At 36.3% G+C, this 27796-nt stretch overlaps 1 protein-coding gene across 11 annotated transcripts in view; it reads left to right on the forward strand.

Moving 5' to 3' along the window:
• The window catches only part of ATRNL1 (attractin like 1), an 855635-nt gene that overhangs the window by 176293 nt on the left and 651546 nt on the right, over positions 1-27796 (forward strand). For 10 of the 11 annotated variants that reach the window (NM_207303.4, XM_011539587.2, XM_011539588.3 and 7 more), the window contains 2 exons: positions 11698-11830; positions 16559-16740. In NM_207303.4, coding sequence (NP_997186.1) covers positions 11698-11830; positions 16559-16740 — 315 coding nt within the window. Of the gene's footprint in view, positions 1-11373; positions 11447-11697; positions 11831-16558; positions 16741-27796 lie in introns of all 11 variants that reach the window. The other variant, XM_017016040.2, reaches the window with a different exon arrangement.

Below are 27796 nucleotides of genomic sequence, written 5' to 3' on the forward strand. Positions count from 1 at the left end.
GCTTGAGTAAAAATAAATAGCATGGATACATATTTCCAACTGAATATAATGTATCATTTTTTCTTTTTTGGAAATTTTATTACTGAAAGTATCTACTTGTTTTTCAAGATAGCAGGCAGAGGTAAAAGGCAAAGAAAAGGGAGTTGAAACTAAGTAAAAAATTTGATTGTATAATTAAAAAAATTCTTCACTAATTAATAATTCAAAATATGTAAGTTTTATGACTTTAATTTTCAGAACTTAAAATGGAGGGAAATTTGCAGTTACTGACTCATTAGATTGAACCCTTTTGTTTTCATACATACTCTGTTGTTATATACTTTCCAGTGATACAAGTTGTTTTAATAACAAGATATACTTCAATTTTATTTGAGTTTTAACATTAATATAACATGGTTATGCTTTGAAAATTTAAATTACGTTTGAAGATATCCACTGATATTCATCTAATGGGAGTTATTTTAGTAGAAGTCGGAGTTAAATAAAATAAGACATGGGAATCAGGGACTTGTATTACAGTTCTTCAGAGAAACAGAATCTGTCTATATATATATATACACACATACACAGTTTATATATATAAATAAATAATATATATTTGTTTATATATTATATATAAATATATAAACATTTGTTTATATATTTGTTTATATATTATATATAAATATATTTGTTTATATATTATATACAGATATATAAACAAATATATAAATCTATTATATAATATATAAATATATGTATATTATATATAAATATAATATATATTTGTTTATATATAATCTATAATATATGTGTATATATATATATAAAATGAGATTTATTATAAGAAATTGGCTCATGTGGTTATGAAGGATGAAAAGTCCCAGGATCTGCCGTCTGCAAACTGAAGACCCAGGAAAGTTGATGATGTAAATTCTACTCTACGTATGGAGGCTTGAGAACCAGGAGTGCAGATGGTGTAAGTCTCAGTCCAAGAGCAAGAAAAGGCAGAGAGAGGAAATTCTTTCTTCCTCTACTTTTTTGTTCTTTCAGGCCCTCAATTGCTTGGATGACGCCCACCATAGGGAGAGCATTTTACTTTACTTGGTTTACCAATTCAGTCTCATCCAGAACTGCCCCCTACAGACATATCCAGAAATAATGCTTAGCCTAATATGTGTCCACCCCATGTCTTGGAAAAGTTGACACATAAAATTAACCATTACAAGTCTACCCCTTGTCAACTTGGCACCTATACATATCTACATAAACCATACTTAATTTTCAAATGAAGATAATAACAAGGTCATAATTCTACCTAACATAATACAAGTATCCTGTGTACAACTGGAAAACACATCAATCTCTTTCCCAGAAAAGGAGGTAAAGTCCTGGAGTGATATTTACTCCTCTCCTTGATATTCTGTAAATTAAATACTATGATGTAAAATCAACAGTACTTAAATTCTGATATGAGCATCTTATGTTACATGATGAGGGAATAAGAGAAGAAAGAAAACAAAGATATTACACACACACACACACACACACACACACACACACAGATGTATTCTTAGCAAAATGAGGAGGAAATACAGTCCTTATTTCTGTAAGTGATCATGTGGTTGTAGCTAATATTTATACATATATTCTTTTTTTTATTATACTTTAAGTTCTAGGGTACATGGGCACAATGTGCAGGTTTGTTACATATGTATACATGTGCCATGTTGGTGTGCTGCACTCATTAATTCGTCATTTACGTTAGGTATATCTCCTAATGCTATCCCTCCCCTCTACCCCCACCCCACGACAGGCCCCGGCAATTCCTCAACGATCTAGAACTAGAAATACCATTTGACCCAGCCATCCCGTTACTGGATATATACCCAAAGGATTGTAAATCATGCTGCTATAAAGACAAATGCACACGTATGTTTATTGCAGCACTGTTCACAATAGCAAAGACTTGGAACCAACCCAGATATCCATCAATGATAGACTGGATTATACATATATTCTCACCTAACCATTTTGTATTTCCTTTACCTTCAGCAAGCACCTTACCTGCTTGTAGTTTTTTATCTGTTGGGGTGACTCAAACCTTTATTCTTGAAGGGTCATTCTTCATTAGTAGTCCTGCTTGAATTGGATTGTTGTAGTTTTCCATTGATCTTAATCACAGGGTAATATAATTTGGACATTTGTCCCTGCCCAAATTTCTGTTGAAATATAATCCCCGGTCTTGGAGGTGGGGCTTGGTAGGAGGTGTTTGAATCACAGGAGTGGATCCCTCATGAATGGCTTGGGCCACCCGCTTGTTGATACGTGAGCTCTTGCTCTGGGTTCACTTGAGGTCTGGTCGTTTAAAAGTATGTGGCAACTCCACCTCCATTCTCACTCTTGCTCCTATTCTGCCATGTGAGATGCTTACTGCCACTTTGCCTTCTGCAATGAGTAAAAGTTCCCTGAGGCCTCTGCAGAAGCAGAGCAGATGCTGGTGCCACATTTCCTGTAAAGCTTGCAGAACTGTGAACTAACTAAACCTCGTTTCTTTATGAATTACCTGATTTCAAGTATTCCTTTATAGCATTGCAAGAATGGCCCAACACACAGGGTGTAGGGTATGGTAATACTGAAAGACGCCATAAGGGATCTCTTGTATTCTAGACATATTCTTCCTAGCCTCCTGTGTGAAGTGGCAGTTCAGTTTCCCTGTACTAGAAGCAGTCACCCCAATGAGCACAGTAACTCTTCTTTGACTGATGATTTAGAGGTGTAAGGAACCCAAAGTGGCCAAGTGGCAGTCTTAATTTCCAATTCTATGGAATCAGTGTTGTGTTTTCTGGAAAAAATTATTCCTTCCTCTGGAATTAAGACATCTAGGTCAGCAAAGAATAAGGTCACAGGAATAGGAAGAAAAATTTCGCTAATGAATTACTAAGGGCAGTAGTGAGTAGTACCACTCCCATTTCCACCCCTTGATTATTGGACCCATAAATGCTGGCTGTGAGAGAAAAAGCACCATATATTGGATGCTGACTCAGAGCTTATATGGCTTTCTGGAGAACCCTTCTGTCAGCCTTGCAAGGTATTACTACGTAGCTGGCACTGTAACTGAATCATCAAAAGCCCATTCCACTGTTTTATGAAACGAGTTGCTTGACAATTGTAGGGAACATGATAAGACCAGTGAGCATAGGCCCATTGCTGTCCTCCATGTGCTGTGACATGAGTTGCTTGGTCAAAAGCAATTCTGTATGGAATACCAAGATAGTAGAGAAAGAATTCTGTAAGTTTACTGATGGCAGTTATGGCAGAAGCATTGTGAGCGAGGAAGGCAAATCTATAGCCAGAATAAATGTCTGTTTCAGTAAAAACAAAATGCTTCCCTTTCCCTGATTGAAGCTGTATCAACCTTCCTCCAGGTAGCTGGCTGATTACCTAGGGGGATGGCACCATATCAGGAGCTCAGTGTTGGTTTCTGCTACTGGCATATTGGGTACTCAGCAGTGGTCATAGCCAGGTTGGCCTCGGTGGATGGAAGTCCATTTTGCTGAGCCCATGCATAATCTCCATCCCTGCCACCATGGCCACTTTGTCCATGAGCCCGTTGGGTAATGACACAGGTGGCTAGGGAAGAAGGTATCCACAGAAGTGGTCATCTTATCCATGTGATTATTAAAATACTCTTTTGCTGATGTCACGTTTTGGTAAACATTTACGCTGGATACAAGTATCTTCACTTATTTGCCATTCAGTGAGATCTGTCCGCATCCCTTTTCCACAATTTTTTTTTTTGTCACCAATTTTCCATTCATGTTCCTTCCAAGTTCCTGACCATACAGACAAACCATTGGCCACAGCCCATGAATCCATACATAATTGCACATCTGGCCATTTCTTCTTCCAAACAGAATAAACATTGAGAAGCACTGTTTGATTTTGCCCACTGGAAAGATTTCCTTTCACTACTGTACTTCAGGGAGGTCCCAGGAAGGGATAGCAGAACTTCAGCAGTCCTTTTTTGGGTGGTACCTGCATATTGTGCAGAACCATCTGTAAATGAAACCAGTCTTCTCTTCCTCTGTCAAGTGATCTAGGGAACTTCTCTTGAAGTGATAGGTCAGACTGGGAGAGAGAAGGCAGTGTGGCAGAAGTGGGGATCATGGGCATTTGGGCCTCTTCATGTAACGTAGTTGCTCCTTCAGGGCCTCCTTGAGCCTGATCATGTATATACCACTTTTATTTGATGATAGAGTGCCGCTGTGCATACCCAACCTCATGGGTTGGTGGGTCAGATAACACCCAGTTCATGATGGGCTGAAATCACATAATTTGGTGACCCATGGTTAAACATTCAGTTTCTATTAAGGCCCAGTAGCAGACTAAGAGCTGTTTCTGCTAAAGGATAGTAGTTATCTGCAGAGGATGGTGATGTTTTGCTACAAAATCCTAAGGGTCTGCACTATTATTTGCCTATAGGGGCCTGCCAAAGGCTCCAAACAGCATCCTGTCTGCCACTGATATTTCACGTACCATTGCACCTGCAGGATCATGTAGCCCAACTGGCAGAGCTTGTATAGTACTCTGGACCTGTTGCAGAGCCCTCTCTTATTCTGAGATCTACTTGGAATTCGCAGCTTTTTAGATCACTTGGTAAATGGGTCAAAGTAACATACCCCAGTGAGGAATGTGTTACCTCCAAAATCCAAAGAGGCCTATTAGACATTCTCCCTCTTTTTTGTTTTGGTTATAGGAGGGGCCAGAGGCAACAACTTAACATTCACCTTTGAAAGGGATATCTTGACATGCCCCATACTGCTAGACCCCTAGAGATTTCAGTGAGTTAGAAGGCCCCTGAATTTTAGATGAATTTATTTCCCAACCTCTGACACCAAATATCTTGCCAGTAAGTCTAGAGTAGTTGCTACATCTTGCTCACTAGGTCCAATCTATGTGATGTTATCAATATTATGGATCAGTGTGATGTCTTGTGGAATAAAAAGGCAGTTAAATTCCTCAGAACTAAGTTATTAAATAGGAGTGGAGAGTTGGTATACTCCTGAGGTAGAACAGTGAAGGTGTATTGCTACCATTGCCAGCTGAAAACAAACTGCTTCTGGTGATCTTTACTAACAAATTTCAAGAAAGAAGCATTTGCCAGATGTTTAGCTGCTTGCCAGTTTCCAGGGAATGTGTTAATTGCCCAAGCAATGAAACCACATCTGATAAGGCAATTACAATTGGTATTACCACTCGGTTAAGCTTATGATAATTCACTGTTATTCTCCAAAATCCATCTGTCTTCTGCATAGACTAAATAGGCAAATTTCATGGGAATATGGTGGGAATTACCACTCCTGCATCCTTTAAGTCCTTGATTGTGGCACTAATCTTTGCAATCCCTCCAGGAATGGAGTATTGCTTTTGGCTTACCATTTTTCTACATAGAGGCTGTTCTAGTGGCTTCTTCTTGGCTTTTCGCTCCGTAATTGTCCTCACTCCACAGGTCAAGGAACCGGTGTGAGTTTTCTTTCAGCTGCTGAGTATGTCTATTCCAATTATGCATTCTGGAACTGGGAAAATAGCCACAGGATGGGTTTGGGACCCAGTGGGCCCACTGTGAGAGGGACCTGAACTCCACTGATCATCTGGCAGTCATAAGCCTCTGACTGGTGGCCCACAGTGATGTTTTGGGTCTCCTGGAATTAATGTCAGTTTAGAACCAGCATCTGGTACTGATACTGATTATTTCCCTTTCCCCAGTGCATAGCTAGGATTTAGTAGGATTTCTATATATTTTACTCCTAGGAGCAACTTCATGCTCAACTCACCAATGCCATAGATGTAAGCAAGTCAGACTATTCCAATTGCTGCTTTAACTCTGCTGTTCATCATAGTAACCTCACCCACCTTGCCTTTGTTAGTTGAGTGCTGCTACCTAGCCCCTGCCAACCTAGATCCAATTATTCCTGTTGCATTTATGTTTCCCAATTCAGTGGCTGCACTTCCCACTGCAAGGCTGGGCATACAGAAAACAGCAATCATGGAGCTCTTCAAGGATGCCAGTGCTCCCCTCCCAAGTTTATTCCTTTCAATACTGGTGAAAGGTGTGTCTTCTGGACCCTCTCAGTGAGGGTGAGCAGATCTTAAAGGACAAATCCACTCTAACATTCCAATCTCCCTAAGCCATTAAATGTCTTCTATATTAAACCAAGGCAGATCCAGCATTTCCAAGTCACTCACTGTGGGCCACCTTTTGGTCTATGTTTTAGCCAACTAACAGAAAGAGCCCTTTCTAACTCTCCAAGCTATAACATCAAATGTATAATTTCTGCTTAGTGAGCCCATATCAATAAATTTTGCCTGATCCAACTTTATGTTTCGTCTATCATTTTCCAATACTTTTACCGTTCTGGAGGCTGGGAAGTCCAAGATCTTGGTGGTAGTAGATTTGGTATCTGGTGACGGCCTACTTTCTGGTTCACAGTAGATGTCTTTTCACTGCTTCCTCCCCTGGTAGAAGGGGAGCTCTTGTGTCTTCAACCCCTTATAATGGTGTTAATCCCATATATGAGGACTCCACCATTATGATTAAATTACGTCCCAAAAGTTGCACCTCCTAATAACATCACATTGGGATTGGGTTTCAAAATATGAATTTTGGGAGATGCAAACATTCAGTCCATGACAGACATTTACATATGAAAATACAACATATCTGAGTGAAAACAGACATATCTTAAAAATTGTATTATGTAAATTGCTATCAAGTATTTATAAAGTGGCATTTTGCTTTATATTTTATTCAATGATGATGTGTTAACAAGGAAAACATTGGGTGAGATAGTGTAAGAGAGCAGATGGTACTCACTTGTAATTTAGAATTTGATGTAATGTGTCCTTTAGACAGTTTTATCAGAATGTCTTGTGATTAAGCTAAACCAAATGTTAATGGCAAAGAGAGGTCTTTGGGATTTCAGTCTAGATTATGTACATTGATATCCTATTTCATATAGGTCAAACAATGTGCTTTATTCTCACATATTTTCATTTACAATTTACATGTCAGTATATTAGAGTGAAGATCAGTAGAGTAGTGGTTACTATTCATAAGCGTGTCTGGTTCATTAGGCCAAAAATGCCAGCTATGTTTCAGAATAATAGCTTTCTTTTACCATTGATTAACTTGGCTCTATGTGTGATTGAAATATAATTTCATTTTTTGTACTTGTTTAGTATCAATAAATGACTATATTTTTCTTAATGAAGAGCAGTAGAGTTATTTGGATGGAGACTCTGTTACCATTGTTATTCTAAAGATTGACATAAAACTATTATTCTTTTTCTTATTCCAACATGTTTAGCCATTCTCATGTCATTTTTATAGGTTATTTTATTTATCTGATACTTCAGGTAAATTTAATTATTTTTAGTTAGCTATCAAATGTTTAGAACTATACTGTAATGATTATATAGAATAATGCTAATATTTATATACTATATGAAAACAAAAAATTATGAATCAGAACAAATAACAATAAGAAAGTATGTTTCTAATGAAAATGAAGTGGTTGAAAAAGTCATAAAATGATTTCAAATTTACAAAAATGTATCTTCTGTAATTTTTTAGGATGAATAAAGATAAAAATTATATCTGGGTACTTTTTATCTGCTACTTTACAGTAAGTGTAAAATGCTCTAATAGAAATTAACACCTTTGGAATGGAGGTGATGGCAATGTATTTTATGAAGGAAGTGGCTTATAAATAAATACTTGGTGAGTGACATTTAAAGTCTCTAAGTGGTTAAAAATTGCTTCAATAAATTTTATCTATAGGATAGCTATAACTTAATTTTAACTCTTAACTTTATTGAGTGAAAACAAATATTTAGCTCCATTACATGAGAAGGCCTGAGGTATTTATACCTATAGTCAAAACAAAACAAAAAGATTGAGGTGGGGGCTCAATGTTTAGCATTAAATCTTTGTATTTTTTTTTCTTATAAAGTAGAGCCACAGGAAAAGCTGAGCCAAAAATTTTAATATCTATTTTTCATGAGTTAGGTTTTATCATAGGTATTGATAATATGTGAATTATCTGAACCTGGGTATATGTAAGGAACCACCATCAAAGTTTCTATATTGTCTACTTTTTTTCTTTATTGGAAATTAACTTTTAATCTCTCAATGCCAGATTAGTTGAAATATGATTACATTATGTAGATTTGGAAACAAAATAAAACTTTTGCAGATTCTTTGAAGCCTCAATGGAGGAAATGTGACAGATATATACAGAAGAAATCTCAATCAACCAGAACCATTATTTAGTGTCTGTGGAAGTAAAATTAGTTTGAGTTGTGACAGTCATTTATCTTTTTATATTGTATTGGGTTTTGATAAAGCATCTTTTTACCTTTTACTACTTTTCATTTCTGCCTCATTCCCAGGGGTCTGCATGATACTTTTATTAAGACTAGAACCATTTTATGTCATCATTAATGGAAATGACTTTGTACATGACTTTATTTTTTGAATTGGAAGGCTGTTTTCGAATTCACTGGAAAAAGTTTTCATTAGATGGTGCCTGTTTAAAATTATGTAATTTGCACACTTCATTTTTTAATAAACATTCATTCCAATTCCAAGAACAATAGTTTAACTTGTTAAAAGAAAAACTTGGGACAAAATAAATTTAGCAGAGCTTATTTGAACAAAGATTGATTCATGAATTGAGCAGCATTCTGAACCAAGAGCTTCGGACACCTCCAGCTATCAATGTGAGCAGGAAGTATTTTTAGACAGAAAAAGGAAGTGACGTTTAGGAACATCTTGATTGGCTACAGGTCACCATTTGCCCTATTTGGGCATGGTGTGATGAGGCATTTACCTTGTATGGAAATAGTCTGATCAGTTGGCAGCATGTGTTTGGCTGAAGCTCAGCTGCTGTGATTAGCTGAGACTAAGCTATCTGTTGTAAGAATACACTCAAATTATGTTGCAGTTTGTTTACATACTATATCAGGCCAAATTTAATTTAATCTCCCCTTTTGGCCAGCTGTCAGTTTTGAGAAATTGACCAAAAACCTTAGGCACTAATACTACTTTCTGTCACTATCATAATGGACTTGTTTTGTCTGAATATGGAATTCACAATTTGCAATGTCAAGTCAGTTGGATGATTTTTTTATATTCTCTTTGTGTTTTTATTATTTTAACTATAGTGAGACCATCTGATATATAACAGATGGCTGCATATGAACATATAAGACTTGAGAGGGGCCGGGCACAGTGGCATACACCTGTAATCCCAGCACTTTGGGAGGCCAAGGCAGGTGGATCATGAGGTCAGGAGATCGAGACCATCCTGGCTAACATGGTGAAACCCTGTCTCTACTAAAAATACAAAAAATTAGCCGGGTGTGGTGGTGGGCGCCTGTATTCCCAGCTACTCGGGAGGGTGAGGCAGGACAATGGCATGAACCCGAGAGGTGGAGCTTGCAGTGAGCCGAGATCGCACCACTGCACTCCAGCCTGGGCGACAGAGCAAGACTCTGTCTCAAAAAAAAAAAAAATAATAATAATAATAAAGACTCTTGAGAAGATATGGCATACTAAGGAGACTATTATAATAATGACTATCATGAGGGTAATATTAAGAGACTGAACTATACTTCTTAATAGGTGCTTCCATGAATCAAATTGGTCAAAATCAAATATATCAACAACAAGCCAGAAGAGGAATCTACTTGTTTTAATCAATTATCTTGTTTGTTGATTTCTTAAAACTGAATTTCTATCATGTCGGACATAATTTTCCAAGGGCAATAGGAGGTGTCATCTGTTGCACACACTCTTCCCTCTTCAGTCAACAGATAGGCCAAAGCAACCATGTTATCTAAAACAACTTTAGCAAGAGAATTTAAAGATGTTTGATGGGCAACTGTAGCCAATTTCTGCTATAGTAGCTAATGTTTGCGACAGATTTCTAATCATAGTCTCATTTACATTTATGCCAAGCCAGGGAAGGAGCATTCTACCAAAAGATGCCTGTTTAGGGATACTTAGACTTGCTTGCAAACTCCTCTTTATTCTATAGTTAAATTAAGAGGTGTAGACCAATGTTCAATTTCCAATTGGTTATTGGAAATAATCATGACAATTCTAACAGTATTACTGTTAAAATCCCTATTCAACATTTTCCACTTATTGAGACATGGAGTTGCTCACATATATGGTTGGTTGTTAAATCCTATACAGATAAAAATATACCCTGGTGAGGCACGACAGACAGTTCCTTGCCTTGTGTGTTAGGGGCCACAGTAGAGAAGCACTAGTAATATTTCTCCAAGGCTCCATTATGAAATCATTGCATGGTTGAAGGATCTTGACAATTAAAGGGATTAGGGTGATAAATTTCTCTACAAACTGTTGAATTACCTTTCTTTTGGTTATCCTATTCCATTTCTGGCATAATGTAACTGCAAATCCCTCATAGGTTTTGACTACTGTCAGATTTAAACGAAGAACCTGATGTGTGAAGCTAAAAGCCTAACCCTGTACAAAGGACCAGATATTGCTCTTAGAACATCAGAGAAATTTGTTAGAAGGTGAAGCAGAGAATCTCTAAGATCATTTAAGGATTTGTGTTTAACATAACATATCCAACATTCAGTTACGTTGCCTGCAAAAGCTATTGATTATGAAATCATAATAAGCATGTTATCTTCCTGGGTATATATAAAAAATAAAAACAGAGAAAAGAGGAAAAGGACCATGGTTTCATGGTGACTAAGGAAAGAAGTCTTGATCTGTCTTCTTGGGAAAGCTTTCATGTCTAGGATGTCATTTGTTTCTGAGGAGAAAGGTCCCTGGTCAATTTTGCCTTGAGGTTTCCAGTGGGTGTACTGTCCTGAGACTGGGAAGGGTCCTCTTAAATTGAGAAATGTGGATCCAAGGCTCAGGCTCAAGGCCCTGAAGTTTTGCTGCAGAGAAGAACTTCGTGTAGTCCCTTACAGCTGACTTCAAGGGCAGTCTTTCTCTGGTGTCTCTTTTGAAAAGACCCAGTCTCCGGGGTGTAGACCATGAAAAGTCTGGTTGTCATCAGTTCGTGGGGGCTTCTTCTATCTGGTGAAAATATACCTTGGCAAAATGCATTAAAGCCTTGCAATATCAAGTCATGTCAGAGTTTATAAAAGCAGTAAATACATGAGGTTCTATTATTACGGGCGTAGGCCTTCCAGTAACCATTTTATAAGGGGTCAATCTATGTTTTCCAGTGGGAGTGGATATGATTGCCATTTTAATTTGTAATACCTTTGAACAAGGCAGTGTAGTTAGCTTTGCCTAATGCCATTGTGTTTATAATACCTTATTTGAATATTTTGCAGTTTGTCCATTGAAACATATGCCTCTATTGCTGTGATTGGCTGGGACTCAACTATCTGTTACAAGAATATGCTTGTAAGTTAGGTTGCAGTTTGTTTAATCCTAAATTAGGTTGTAGTTCACCACTTGTAGAGGCAGCTTCAGGCCAAATTTAATTTAATTTAATAAACTAATGAAATAAATAAGGGAGAGTCTGATTCAGTTGAATTGTATTTGGAGTTAGAAATGTTTATTTTAAAGTTCACCAGAGGATTTAAATATACACTGAAGTTTAAGAATCATTGCTGTACAAAGGTGAAAAATAACATGCTCTTTTAATTTTGTAGTCTGTCAAGAACTACACCAAATGTCATGTGAGAAATGAGCAGATTTGTAACAAACTTACCAGCTGTAAAAGCTGTTCACTAAACTTGAATTGCCAGTGGGATCAGAGACAGCAAGAATGCCAGGCTTTACCAGGTAAAGATTTCAAAATTTAGTAAATGAGTTTATGGTCTACAGATAAATACTGACATAGAAAAGTACATTTAGTAAGGACACTACATTTTCTAAAATTAAAGTCATAGTAAATATCAACCTATAATATTGTAGTACTAATAACACTGTTTCTACAAGAAAAGTTTTTTGATTACATATTTGCTTCCAATTATTTTAAGGTGTTCATATGTTTATGATACTGTTGAACTGATTAGATACCTTTTCATCGAAAAAAATCTTAAAAATGTAGAAAATAATAAGCACTCAGACTTAATATTCAGATTTAACAAATACTAACATTTTGTTATATTTTATTTAAGTGCCTTTTATTTTCCAAACTCAGTGCATATTTTCATTATACATTATAACATTTATAAAAAATATTTTAAGGCAACAATAATATAGAACATATTAATTATATATTATATATTTTGCCTCTCTGTATCCTAAAATATATATATTATATATTTTCCCTCTCCATATCCCAGGGTTTTAAAAATATTATATATATAATATATTAACAATAAATACATAAATATATTACTTATATAATATGTAACATATATTTATTAAAATTATATATCTAGTAATTTTAACTAAATATATAATTTATATATTTAATAAATTTAAACCATAAATTTATATATTTATTATATTACATTTATAATATATAATATAATATAAATTATATTTTAATATATTATCCTATATAATATAATTTTATAATAAATACATTTCTTTTTTTATTTTTTTAAAATTATTATTATTATACTTTAAGTTTTAGGGTACATGTGCACAATGTGCAGGTTAGTTACATATGTATACATGTGCCATGCTGGTGTGCTGCACCCATTAACTCATCATTTAGCATCAGGTATATCTCCCAATGCTATCCCTCCCCCCTCTCCCCACCCCACAACAGTCCCCAGAGTGTGATGTTCCCCTTCCTGTGTCCATGTGTTCACATTTCTTATAATAAATATGTGCTTTTATGAGAATCCGAATTTTATAAACTACAGCAAAGCTCATTTTTAAAAGTAATTTCATTTTTTCACAGTTAACATTGCTAGTGGATGCTAAGTACTCTTCCTTTGAAATATAAAAGATAAAATTAGAAAATTGAAAGGTAATACAGGCATTTAACCAGTTCTGCTTGTTATACAGATAAACTGAGATCCATGCTGGTTAAGTGATATGCTCAAAATTATGTGACTTGTAAATGACAGAGTTGTAGCTATTAACTAGGTGTTTTATTTCTGTTTAGTATTTTACCTCTCTTTATCCCAGGTTTTTTTTTTTTAAAGGTGGAATTATTTTTTTATTATTATTATACTTTAAGTTCTGGGGTACTTGTGCAGAATGTGCAGGTTTGTTACATAGGTATACACATGCCATGGTGGTTTGCTGCACCCATCAACCCATCACCTACATTAGGTATTTCTCCTCCTAATGCTATCCCTCCCCTAGCCCCCTACCCCCACTTTTTTTTTAAAGAAAAGTTTCTGAGCCTATTTAATTCTAAAACATATTGGAAAATTCCATCACAGAATTTGTCTGAAAGAGAATCTTTCTTACAAGTTAATGTGATAAAAATCAAAATTATTCTGCCTTTAAAAATGCCATTGCGGTCAGGTACGGTGTCTCACACCTGTAATTCTAGCACTTTGGGAGGCTGAGGTGGGTGGATCACTTGAGGTCAGGAGTTGAAGACCAGCCTGGCCATCATGGTGAAACCCCGTCTCTACTAAAAATACAAAATTTAGCTGGGTGTGGTGGTGGGCACCTGTAATTTCAGCTACTCGGGAGGCTGAGGCAGGAGAATCACTTGAACTCAGGAGGTGGAGGTTGCAGTGAGCAGAGATCACGCCATTGCACCCCAGCCTGGGTGACAGAGTGAGACTCTGTCTCAAAAACAAACGAACAAACAAACACACCATTGAGGCGCTGGAATGTCATTCATACTTTGAATTTTGTTTACATACTGGCCCTTAAAGCCTTTAAACAGTGCGATGTGCATGTGTGCTCATTTTGAGAAAGATAGTATTAATAATGCAGTAGGCAGGGTTTAAGAAGCAACAGTGAGATGATACTAAGAAGTTGAAAGTGGTATTGGTCTCTCAGAATTAAACTATAAAATGAAAATGTAGATCAATGAAAATATTTACAAAGTTTCCTGAAAATGACAAGGTTAATCTTGGACCAAAATAAGATTTGAATGAAGGAATGTATACATTTCAAGGAATATTACTTTGATAAGAATGGAAATTAGTTGCCAGTGGAAGTTTGGAAAAATGATAGTAAAGTTACTTTTGGTAGTACTCATCTACTCATTCCCTAGGAAAAAAATGTTGCTTTGTTATAAAGGCTCCACTTGACCAGGCTATTATTTTGGAAATGTAATGAAATATATTATGCACAAATTCTCTTTTCTTAATTCATATTTACTAAGCAGCCAACTGGTTATATATCGTTTGATTTCCATTCAGCTTATCTCAAGGAAGTGAATGCTCTAAATAGAGGGCCCAGTCTGTAGAGCAGTTGTACAATTCCATGACAATTGGTGTATTGCATTTTTTTTACATTGATCTCATATGAGCTTGGCAATTTGAATTTATCTCACTAAACTCATTATAAATTAATTGCCTTCCTTTTAACCCCACTGCTAAGTTGTTGCTTAATACTACAAAAGCCTGAAGTATAAAAATATTTGGTTTGGTAGTATAATTTAGTTTAGCCACAAAGGCCCATGCATTTGTTTTTATTTGTATGATTTGTCAATGAACTATTTTTGTTCTCACTAAAAAATAAATGAGGAGACAGGCAATAATAATCTAAATTCTTCCTTGATTCAGTAAGGTGAGAAAAAACCGTAATTTAAGAAAACGTTTGCATTGTAAGGAAAAGTTTTTTGGTATTTTGGATTTAAAAGGACTGTGAAAATTGAAACACATATAGCTTCAAACTGAAAACCAGGGCATGCTACACAGTCTTATTAAATGATAATTATAGTTTATTGAGGGATTACTATGTTCCAACTGCTGTGAGATTTTCATGGTACCCAATTTAATCCTTAGAGCAGCAACCGTGAACGAACAGGAGTCCCCAAGATGCTTTCGAGTGGGTCCATTTGGTGAAGACTAATAGTACTGAGACATTATTTGCTTTTAAAATTTTCCATTTGTTATGGGTTTACCATGGAGTTTTATAACGGCTATCTGTTGTATGCTATTCCAATAGACTGAATGTAGAAGAAGGTATGAGAATATAGCTGTCAAATGCCAAATATTGAAGACATTTACAAAAATATAAAACAATAAAAATAAAATATGCTATTAAGTTGTAATGTTCCCCTTCAACATTTTGTTATGAAATATTAAAACAGAAATATTAAAAAACAGAAATAATTGTGGAGAGGACACCCAATACCTACATTCTAGATTCTGCAATTAACATATTGCTCTATCTGCACTATCCCTGATCTCTCTGCCTATCCATCCCCTATTCATTCATTAATCCTTCTTTATTTTTTGATGCTGAGGTCTAATTTGAATTGTCAGCTACTTTCCCTCGGGAAGGGAATTTGAGGATACGTTTCCTTTGGGCCTATTTGTATACCATAGTGGGGCAAGACATCTCAGCAGCTGGAAGAGTGCATTTATAGTGGGGTTTAAAATTATTATTTTAAATGAATAAATACATGTATTTGTTAAAGTTACCATTTTTAATTTTAAAACCATTTTTAATTTTAAAACGCTCCAAATCAGTAGATATAGCATGCATAAAGAGAAGTTCTGTGGGACCCTCAATAATTTTTAAGACTTAAAGACCAAAAATTTGAGAACAGCTGCTTTAGAACAACTTTATAAGAGTTGCAGCAATATATCCAAGGTCCTTCATACAGGGCTAGAGGCGCTAATACATTTCATATGATATAGAAACTAAAATGTAATCTAACTTTATAGATCAGTATATCAATGAAACACTATTATTAATTAGTGCACACTAAAGTTTAGCCTTATTAATATATTATATAAACCTGTGTTTTGGAAAACGGTGTTTCAAGTTCAATTTGGATTCTATAGATAAACCATTATTACTGAACAGTATGTTTCATTTTTAGAAAGACATGAATAATTGTGTAAAAATAAACATTAGCAAGGAAAGATCATAGCTACTTTACTAATCATAAGTGAAATGAGACTTCTCTACCCATGCTTATGAAAGAATCAGAGAACCCAACTTATACCACAACTATATACCTGAGCTATAGAAATTAGATTTAGAGGTCAATTAGCTTCACTTATAGGAGTAACTTTGAAACTGCTTCTGTTATAAGCTTGTTGTTTTTCTATTAAAGTAATCTTGTCTTATGTAAACTAGACCTTGGGACATAAATATAGTAGTGATTTTACTTATTGAAATACCATATGCCAATATACCAGATGTTACACAGAAAACCTAGCAGTCAACACATTTAACAGATGTCATAGAGCCATAATTTATCTCATGTTTAAGATTTAAAGAAAAAGTTGGGATGTTCTGCTTTCATTCTCTACCAAACTATTAGAAAAATTTATTTGAAATATTGAGATATTTAATATGTTTTATTTCAAAAATAATTTAAACAAATACAGAAGTACTTTGAAATAATTGAAAAATACATTTGCTTTTTGGTAATCTAACAATAAGACACATTTTTTTTCTTACTAGCTCATCTTTGTGGAGAAGGATGGAGTCATATTGGGGATGCTTGTCTTAGAGTCAATTCCAGTAGAGAAAACTATGACAATGCAAAACTTTATTGCTATAATCTTAGTGGAAATCTTGCTTCATTAACAACCTCAAAAGAAGTAGAATTTGTTCTGGATGAAATACAGAAGTATACACAACAGGTAACATTTCTACTTGTTTACATTATGGAAATATGCTATGATAATTTCATAATTATTTGAAATTTTTTTTTGGTTTTAATACATTATTGTTGCTAATTTTGGAAATAAAAGTGAAATTGATTTCTCAAGTGAATTGGCAGAAGACTTATTTTGTATAAGTAATAAGGTAATAAGGTTTTGTAAATTATCACTTTTTGCAGAGTAAACCACTGTATTACCTTACCAAGAAGTGATCTTATATGAATAGATACACTTAAAGAGTATATAATTTAAGAATTATAACTGCACTTGGTATAGTGTGGCAGAAACAATTTTTGCTGAAAACTTTTCAGAGCAATTATAGTCGATCCTCTGTATCTATGGATTCTGCATTCATGGAGTCAACCAACCGCAGATGAAAAATATTTTTAAAAAGTATGGTTGTGTCTGTACTGAACATGTACATACTTTTTTTCTTCCCATTAGTCTCTAAACAATACGGCATAACAGCTATTCAATAACATTTACATTGTATTCAGTAATAATCTAGAGATGATTTTAAGTATATGGGAGGATATGGATAGGTTACTTGGAATACTATGCCATTTTATATTACATAAGGGGTATGATATTTATGGATGTTAGAATCCACAAGGGACCTCCGTATCCTCCATGGATACAGAGAGATGACTATGTTACCAATTACTTGCTATATAGAAACAAGTAATGCTTACTTGTTACAGCTTACTTTAAAGAAGCATTGTAGATAGCATATCAAAATGGTGGACAGCATAAAATCTGGACATATGCTTATTTCTACAACTTAGTAGCAAGTTAACATCCCTAGCTCTATGTTTCTCATGTGTAAACTGGCATAATAATCATGGCTACTTCATATGTTTATTGTGGGTAATAAATGAGATACTGCATGTAAAGAATATAGAAAAATTTATTTTTGAGAGTTAACTTTGGTTACAATTTTTACTATTTCCATTTTAAGGGATACTATTTTTTTGTCTTTGTTCCCACTACTGCTATTACTACTATTTCCAGGAATCATTATTTAGACAATGAATTTTTAGGTAACTAAATGAATATTTCTGGTAAATAGTTAATATTGAAACTGATTGTGGAAAAATGTCTTAATTTTTCTATGGTAAGTACATTTTTTTGTTCAAGCTTCTATTAAAATTTATTTTATTGTCACTGAAGAATTGTATGTATTTATGGGGTACATAGTGCTGGTTTAATACATATAATGTATAGTGAGCAAATCAGGGAAATTAGCATATCCATTATGTCAAACATTTATTATCATTTACTTGTGTTGGGAACATTCAATATCCTCCTTCTAGCCATTTGAAACTATGTGATATATTATTGTTAACAATAGTCATCCTACATTATTATAGAACATTAGAACTTATTCATCTTATCGAGCTGTAATTTTCAATCCTTTAATAAATCTCTTCTTATCCCTCCCTTTCGCCTTACTCTTCCCAGCCTCTAGTACCTCTCCTCTACATTTTACTTCTATAAGATCAACTGTTTTTTTTTTTTTTTTTTTTTTTAGCTTCCACTTATGAATGAGAACACAGGGTGTGTAACTTTCTGGGCCTCTCTTATTTTACTTAACAAAATGTCCTCCACTTCCATCCATGTTGCCATGAATGACAGGATTTCATTCTTTTTTAATGACTGAATATTATCCCCTTACTTATATTTACCACATTTTGTTTATCTATTTTTTTCTTGTTGGAAACCCAGGTTGGTTCCACATCTTGGCTATTGTGAATAGTGCTGCAATAAACATGAGAATGCAGGTATCCCATTGATATACTGATTTTCTTTCCTTTGGATAAATGTCCAGTAGTGGGATTGCTGGAACAAATGATAGTTCTATTTGTAGTTTTCTGAGGAACTTCTATATTGTTCTCCATAGGGGCTGTACTAATTTACATTCCCACCAACAACGTATAAGAATTCCCTTTTCTCTGCATCCTCACCAGTATTTTTTGACTTTTTGATAATAGACATCTGGAGGTGAGATGATAGCTCGTTGTGGTTTTTATTTTTGTTTCCCTGATGATTAGTGATGTTGACCATTTTTTTCACACTTTTGTTGGTCACTTGTATGTCTTCTTTTTTTTTTTTTTATTTTTTTTGAGACAGTCTCGCTCAGTTGGCCAGGCTGGAGTGCGGTGGCATGATCTCGGCTCACTGCAACCTCCGTATCCTGGGCTCAAGCAATTCTTCCGCCTCAGCCTCCCGAGTAGCTGGGATTACAGGCGTGTGCCACCACGCCCAGCTAATTTTTGTATTTTTAGTAGAGACAGGGTTTCACCATGTTGGCCAGGCTGGTCTCGAACTCCTGACCTCAGGTAATCCGCCCACCATGGCCTCCCAAAGTGCTGGGATTACAGGCATGAGCCACCGTGTCCGGCCTGTATGTCTTCTTTTGGGAGATGTCTGTTCAGATCATTTGTTCTTTTCTAATTCAGATTGTGGTTCTTTTGCTGTTGAAATTTTTTAGTTCCTTATATATTCTGGATATTAATTCCCTATCAAATGAATAGTTTACCAATATTTTCTCCTATTAGTCTGTTTTCATGCTGCTGATAAAGACATATCCGAGACTGGGGAGAAAAAGAGGTTTAATGGACTTACAGTTCCACATGGCTGGGGAGGCCTCAGAATCATGGCAAAAGGCAAGAAGGAGAAAGTCACATGTTACATGGATGGCAGCGGGGAAAGAGAGGGAGAGCTTGTGTAGGGGAATTCCTCTTTTTAAAACCATCAGATCTTGTGAGACTTATTCACTATCATGAGAACAGCACAGGAAAGACCTGCCCCCATGATTCGATTACTTCCCATCAGATCCCTCCCACAACACGTGGTAATTCAAGATGAGATATGGATGGGAACACAGCCAAACCATATAATCTCCCTTTCTGTAGGTTGTCTTTTCACTGTGTTGTTTCCTTTGCTGTGCAGAAGCTTTTTATTTTTATTTAATACCATTTGTTTATTTTTGCTTTAGTTTCCTGTGCTTTTGAGGTCTTGTTCATAAAATCTTTTAGTAAACCCATTCCTGAAGTTTTTTCATATGTTTTCTTCTAGCAGTTTTATTGTTTTGGGCCTTAAATTTAGTTCTTTGATCCATTTTTTTGTTGTTGTTTTTGTATAGGGTAAGAGGTGGGGGTCTAGTTTAATTCTAATGCATATAGAGATCCAGTGTTTCTAGTACTATTTATTGAAGAGATTGTCCTTTCCCCTATGCATGTTCTTGGTGTAATTGTCAAAAATCAGCTGGCTGCAGCTATGTGAATTATTTGTGGGTTCTCTATTCTCTTCAACTGGTGTATGTTTATGTTTTTATACCAGTACCATGCTGTTTTGTTTACTACAACTTTGTAGTGTATTTTGAAGCCTGGTAGTTTGATAGCTCTAGCTTTGTTCATTTTGCTCAGGATTGCTTTGGCTATTAGGGCTCTTTTTTGTTCCATACAGGTTTTAGGATTGCTTTTCCTATTTCTGTGAACAATGTCATTGGTATTTTATAGGTAGTGCATTGAGTCTGTAGATTGCTTTGAGTAGCATGGTTGTTTTAACAATATTAAGTCTTCTGATCCATTTGCATGGAATGTCATTCCATTTGTTTGGATACTCTTCAATTTCTTTAATCAGTGTTTTGTAGTTTTTTTTTTTTGTAGAGGTCTTTTACCTTCTTGGTTAAATTAATTCTAAGTATTGTAAATGGTGTTACCTTCTTGATTTATTTTCCACCTAGTTTGTTGTTTGTGTATAGAAGTGCTACCGACTTTTGTGTGTTGATTTTGTAACCTGAAACTTTGCTGAATTAGTTTATCAGTACTAAGAGTTTTCTGGTAGAGTTGAAGTGGTGTCATTCCTCTAGGGTAATACCCGAGGTTCTTTGCCTCACACCAAGGAAATCAAGGACACAGACACACAAGGAGTGAAATTAAGAGCAGAGGTTGCCAGGCATGGTGGCTCATGCCTGTAATTCCAGCACTTTGGGAGGCTGAGGCGAATGGATCACCTGAGATCAGGAGCTTGAGACCAGCCTGGCCAACAAGGTGAAACGCCGTCTCTACTAAAAATATAAAAAATTAGCTGGGCCTGGTGGCGGGCGCCTGTAATCCCAGCCACTTCCGAGGCTGAGGCGGGAGAATTGCTTGAATCTGGGAGGCGGAGGTTGCAGTGAGCTGAGGTCGTGCCATTGCACCCCAGCCTGGGTGACAAGAGTGAAACTGCAGCCCCCCACCCCCGTCCAAAAAAGAGCAGAGGTTTAATAGGTGAAAGAAAGAGAAAACCTTTCTCTCCTGCAGAGAGAGAGGGGCTCTGGAGTGGGTCTTCTAGTTCTGTGGTGAAATGCATGGGGTTTTATAGACAAGCTTAAGGAGGTGGTGTCTGATTTACATAGAGCCCAAAAGATTGATCTGACCAGGTGTGTCATTTACATAGTGAAGAAGCTGGCTGCCCTACCTTAATCTTTTATTATGTAGATGGGTTCTCTACTTGGCTAGTGCCATGTTGCCTGTTCCTTTACTGTACACGTGGTTGACAAAGAAAAGGGAAGATGTAGCCTCCACGTTGAACATGCCTGGCCCCCAGGTAGCCTTCACCTAGTGGCACAGCTGCCGGCATTCACCGGTGTAAGCTTCCAGCTTTCTTATCTCTGTCTGCAGCTCAATTTCACAGGCTGCTCTTTGTTAGAAAAATAATGATTTTGGAGCTGCTTTTTGTTAAAAGGGAAGTCTTGCTCAGGACTCTCTTACCCTCACTATCTACCTAAATAATTTCTTTCTAGTTCTTGTATAAGAGTCTTAAGGTTTTTCTCTGTATCATGTCATCTACAAACAGGGACACTTTGACTTCTTCTGTTTCAATTTGGATGTCTTTTATTTCTTCTGTTGCCTAATTGCCCTGGCCATGGACTTACAGTGCTGTGTTAAATAATTGTGGTGAGAATGGGTATCCTTGTCTTGTTCCAATTCTTAGAAGAAAGGCTTTTAGCTTTTCCTGTTCAGTATGATGTTAGCTGTGGGTTTGTCACATATGGCCTTTATTATTTTCAGGTACATTCCTTCCTAAATAAAGGTATTTATTTATTTATTTCCTTCCTAAATTAGGTAATTCCTATGTAAATACCTAATTTAAGTTTTTATCTTGATGAGATGTTGAATTCTGTTGAATGCTTTTGCTGCATCTATTGAGATGATTGTATGGTTTTTGTCCTTCTATCGATGTGATATTTGATGTTTATTAATTTATGTAGGTTGAACCATCCTTGTAGCCCTTGGATAAATCCTTCTTGGTCATGGTGTGTATTGTTCTGATATTGTTGGATTCATTTTGCTAGTATTTTGTTGAGCATTGTTGCATATGTTCATCATAGATATTGGCCTCTAGGTTTTTTTTTTTTTTTTTTTTAATGTCCTTGTCTGGTTTTGGTATCAGTGTTATGCTGACCTCATAGAATGAGTTAAGAAAATCCCCTCTCCTTCAGTTCTTTGAAATAATTTGAGAAGAATTGGTTTTAATTATTTTTGAAAGGTTTGGTAGAATTCAGCAGTGAAGCCATCTGGTCCTGGACTTTTCTTTGTTGTGAGACTTTTCATCATTCATTCAAAATCATGAATTTTGTTGGTATTTTCAACTTTTCTATTTCTTTTTGGTTCAATTTCTAGGTTTCATGTGTACAGAAATTTATTCATTTCCTGTAAGTTTTCAATTTCTTGGAATATAGTTGTTTATAGTAGTCTCTAATGACCCTTTATGTTTCTGTGTTATTTTAATGTCTCCTGAATTTTCACTTCTGATTTTATTTATCTGGGTCCTCTCTCTTTCTTGTTTGGTCTAGCAAATGGTTTATCAGTTTTCTTTATTTTTTGAACAAGACCAACATTTTGTGTCATTGATCTTCTGTATTATTTTAGTCCTGATTTCATTTCAATAAAGATCATGATTGCCATGATCTTTATTTTTTTCCTTCTTCTAATTTTGGATTTTTTTTTTCTTACTTTGCTAATTCTTTGTGATGCAACATTAGGGTGTTTATTTGAAATCATTCTGTTTGTTTTTTTTGATGTAGATGTTTATTACTATAAACTTCCCTTTCAGTACTCCTTTTGCTATATCCTATAGGCTTTGGTATGTTGTGTTTCTGTTTTCAGCAGTCTCAAGTAATTTTTAAATTTCATTCTTAATTTCTTTCTTCACCCAGTGTTGAGGACTATATTGTTTAATTTCCATTTATTCACATTGTTTTGAATGTTCCTCTTTTTACTAATGTCTAGTTTTATTCCATTGTGGTCATGTAAGATAGTTGGTATGATTTTGATTTTTAAAAATTTGTTGATATTTGCTTTGTGTCCTACCATATATGGTCATTCCTGGAGAATGTTCCACATGCTGATGAAAAGTATGTGTATTCTTCAGTACAGTGTTCTGTAAATGTCTGTTAGATCCATTTGGTTTATGCTGCAGTTTAAATCTGATGTTTCTTTGCTGATTTTCTGTCTAGATCATCTGTCCAATGCTGAGAGCATGGTGTTGAAGTCTCCAAGTATTATTGTTTTGGGGCATATTTCTCTTTTTATATCTAATAATATTTTCCTTATGTATCTAAGTGCTCCAACATTGGGTGCATGTATATTTACAATTTATAGTCTCTTACTGAATTAATCCCTTTCTTATTGTATAATATGCTTCTTTATCTCTTTTACAGCTTTTGAGTTAAAGTCTGCTTTGTCTGATATAAGTGTAGCTACTCCTGTTCACTTTTGCTTTCTGTTTGCATGGAATATCTTTTTTCATCCCTTCACTTTTAGTCTATATATGTCTTTCCAGGTGAGGTAAGTTTCTCTTAGGCAGCATATTGTTAGTTATTTTTTTAAAAAATACCCTCAGACAGTCTATATCTCTTAAGTAAGGGAATTCATTTACTTTCAAGGTTATTATTGGAAGGTGAGAATTATTCCTATCAATTTATTGGTTGTTTTCTGGTTTTCATACATCTTTTCTTCCTTTGTATATCCTTTCTATCCTTTGTTCCTTTCTTCCTCTCTTATTATTTATTTTTGTAGTTACATGGCTTTTTGTAGTGATATGGTTTTATTTCTTTCTCTTTCTCCTTAGTGTGTTGGCTCTACCAGTGAGTTTTATAATTTTGTATATGTTCATTATGTTGGTTATCATCTTTTCTGTTCTAGATGTTAGGCTCCTTTGAGCATTTATTGTAAGGCTAGTCTATTGGTGATTAATTTCATTAGATTTTGTCTGTGGAAGATATTATTTCTCCTTAATTTCTGAAGGATAGCTTTTCTGGGTATAATATTTGTGGTTGACAGTTTTTTGTTTTCTTCTCAATAGTTTGAATATATCATTCCATTCCTCTTGGCCTTTATGGTTTCTGCTAAGAAATTCACTATTGCTGAAATGGGGATTTTCCTATATCTGACTTTATGCTTTTCTGTTGCTGCTTTTAGAATTCTTTCTGTTTGATTGTTGATGATTTGAGTATTGTGTGCATTGTAGAGGACCTGTATAGGCTGGATCTATTTGGTGTTCTCTAAGCTTCTTCGACCTGCATGTCCATTTCTTTCTGAAGACTTGGGAAGTTTTCAAGTGATTTATTAAATATTTCTAGACACCTGTTCCCTTCTGTTCTCTTTTGTAGTTCCTATAATACAAATAGGTTTTCACTAAATGTTTCTTGTAAATGCTGTAGGCCTTCCTCACTCCATATTCTATTTTATTTTTGTTACCTGTGTTATTTGCTTTTAAGTCCAGTGATTCTTCTAGCTGGGCATGGTGGTGTGAACCTGTAGTCCTAGCTACTTGGGACACTGAAGTAGGAGGATCACTTGTAAGCCCAGGAGATCGAGGCTAGCCTAGGCAACATAGCAAGATCCCATCTCTGTTAAAAAAGAAGAAAGAGTAATTATTTTTTCTGCTTAGTCAAGTCTGTGGTTGAAGCTCTCTGTTGCATTTTTAAAGTTTTATTCATTGAATTCTTCAGATCTAGGATTTATTTTGTTCTTTTTTTCTGATATCTCTGTTGTTGAATTTTTCTTCCAAATTATGAATTGTTTTTCTTATTTTGTTGAATTGTCTATCTGTATTCTCCTATATCTCACTGAAGTTCCTTAAGATTATTTTGAATTTTCTTTCTGATATTTCATATGTTTACTTATGTTGGGTTCTATTAGTGGAGAAATATTGTTTTCCTTTGGGGATATCATGTTTTCTTTGCTTTTTCATGTTTGATGTATTCCTACATAAAATTCTTCCAATTTTATGGAGTAGGTTTTGTATGGAAAGAATTATTAGTATGAATGGGTCTTGGGGTATTAGTTCAATGGGGTGTATTGGTATTGGTTCTAGGTAGATGAAGTAGTGTAGTCTCCATGTAGTTTCTTCAGCTATAATCCACATTAGTGACATAGTAGTGACATTTTCAAGTGTCTTGGTAGCCTTTGCAAAGAGAGTTTGTAGCAGTGGTGATGTGGCTTTGTTGGAGAGTGTGCTCACCTTGCTGTTTCTCAGATTACGGGCATGTGAGTACACACAGTGGGTAGGGCAACTTGCATTCTGGCTTGCTGGGGTTGAGGTCATAGGACTGTCACTCTTGGAGCATAGGCATGCAGTCACTTGGCTGACCTGGGGGCTTGCCTGTCAGGAACAACCTATGAGATTGGTTTTCAAGCTTAAGATGTGAGTGTATAGCTGCTCAGTTGGCCTGGAAAGATTTTTTCCAGGGTTGGCCTTTGGGGCTGTTTTTCAGGCCCAGGAGACAAGTTGAAGGCTGCTTGGCTGTCCTGGGGGCTTGCTTGCCAGGAACAACCCACAGGGCTATTTCTTAATCCCAGGATGCAGGTGCATTGCTGCTCGGCTGGCTTGGGGGAATATCTGCTGGGAGTGCCTCATGGGGTCGTGTCTCAGGCCCAGGATATGCTTATATGGCTTTCTGGCGAGCCTGTGGGTGTGCCTGCCAGGGGTGGCCTGTAGAGGTGTTTCTCAGGTGCTGGATGTGGACTCATGGCTGCTTGTATTGCCTGGAGGCATGCCCAACAGTGGCAGCCTGTGGAACTGTTTCTAGGCCCTGATTGCCAGTGCAAGGCTTTTAGGCAGGCCAAGGGCCTGCCTGGAGAGGTTGCAATGTGGCTGTTTCTCAGGCCCTGAGTGCAGGCATGTAGCCGCTCCTCTGGCCTAGGGGCGTATTAGCTGCACAGAGTCTCAAGGGCCTCTCCTGCTTGGGGGAGGGCATGCAATGGTTTGACTGGCTTGGCTGGCTCAAGGACCACATTGTCCTGTGTGGGACTGCCAGAACATTCCTTTGGCTCAGAAGTGCAGTGGTGGGGATTGGTTTCCCTGCTGTGTAGGACCAGAGTCACAGCCAATCCTGGACCTAGGCTCCATTCAGCTGGGGTTGTGGCATTCAGCCGCCTGTGTGGGCTTGGTGGAACGAAAATGAACTGCAGTACTGGAGAGATGCAGAGGCTACTGGACACTTGAGCAAGGTACACTCCAGAGGTGGCTCTGGTCTCAACATGGCACCATGCTGCAGCATCTTGGCTCAAGGGCTTGAGTAGGGAATGAGAAGTGCACACCTTGTATTCTTAATTGAGGGCAATGCAGCTGAGGGAATTCCTGGCAGCTTCTAAACTGGGCTCAGAGCTTGTAAGGACTGTGGGATTCTTCTGTAGTAAGGATTATAGGTGTTTTTGGTAGCAATGGGGGCTGGTGGGGATCTTCTCCTTACCTATTCCCTATAACACGAAGTCACTGCTGATCCTAAACAGATCCAATCCAGGTGGAGAAGACAGGGCAAAGGCTGGGTGCCTCCATGCTGCCTTTCTGGACTTCCATTCACCACAGGTGCATCTCCACTCCCCCACTGCACTCCAGCACTCTCCCTTCGACACTCCAGTCAAAGCATAGCTCTTTATTCATTGTCTCAATCCTCTCTTGTGGTAGGGATGAGCACCAGGTGTCTCTAGTCAGACATCTTGCTGACATCACTGCTGAAATTTTTGTATGGACACTCAGTCCACTGTTACTGCCAACCCTAATTTTTGTGATGAAATATATTAATATTAGCATGTATATTTCTCATGAGTATCAATAATGGATAATCTAATTTCTATCCCCAGTTTCTGTCTATACAGCCAAAGCCCTCTTCCCCATTAATAAAACTGATGAATTAATTATATCCTTTGGCTTTTATAAATATTAAAATATTTTGAAGTGGATATTGCAATATGGTACTTCTTGGCCTTAAGTTTTTTTTTTACGTCTGGGATTAATAGGGTAAAGAAAAACTATACTAATCATATTTATATGAACAGTTGATTCAGGAAACTACTTTTCTGTGAACTGTAGCTATTTTTCTGTGAAGGATAGAGCAGTAGTTATTCATTTGGTATACATTTATTACTTTCAGTGTACTTGGCAATCTACTGCTTTCTGAGATTACAGAGATCAAAAGACAATTGCTGTTCTCAAAGAGCTTAGTGGGGAGAGAAACAAACACAATTCTACTGAAATGTGATAATTGCAATGATAGATGCACACAGGGTGCTATATGAAGATAAAGGGTAGGCATCTAACGAGTAATGTGGACCTAAGAATAATTTCCTAGAGGAGTGCCCTAGCTATGTCTTACAGGATTTGGAGTTGGCCAGCACATGAAAATATTGGTAAAGAGGCCAGAGAAATGCCTAAGTCTTTTCTCTTGTCTTGAGAGCTACTAGCTTAATGGCTAGAGGATAAGATATATGAGGTAGCATGTAGGAGAGACCTATCAGTTTTATAATATTTTTGAAGAATGTGACAAGGTGTATTTGTAAAGTATTATTTTTAGCATATGGGACAAACAACATAAGTTAAAATCTGTTTATATTCTTGTGATGCCAGGAGCTTTATTTCTTTTACTACAAAAAATAAGGGACAATTACCGTCCGGGCGTGGTGGCTGACGCCTGTAATCCCAGCACTTTGGGAGGCTGAGGCAGGCCGATCACAAGGTCAGGAGTTCGAGACCATCCCGGCTA

Source organism: Homo sapiens, chromosome 10 (assembly GCF_000001405.40).
Source record: "Homo sapiens chromosome 10, GRCh38.p14 Primary Assembly".
Classification (NCBI taxonomy): Eukaryota; Metazoa; Chordata; class Mammalia; order Primates; family Hominidae; genus Homo; species Homo sapiens.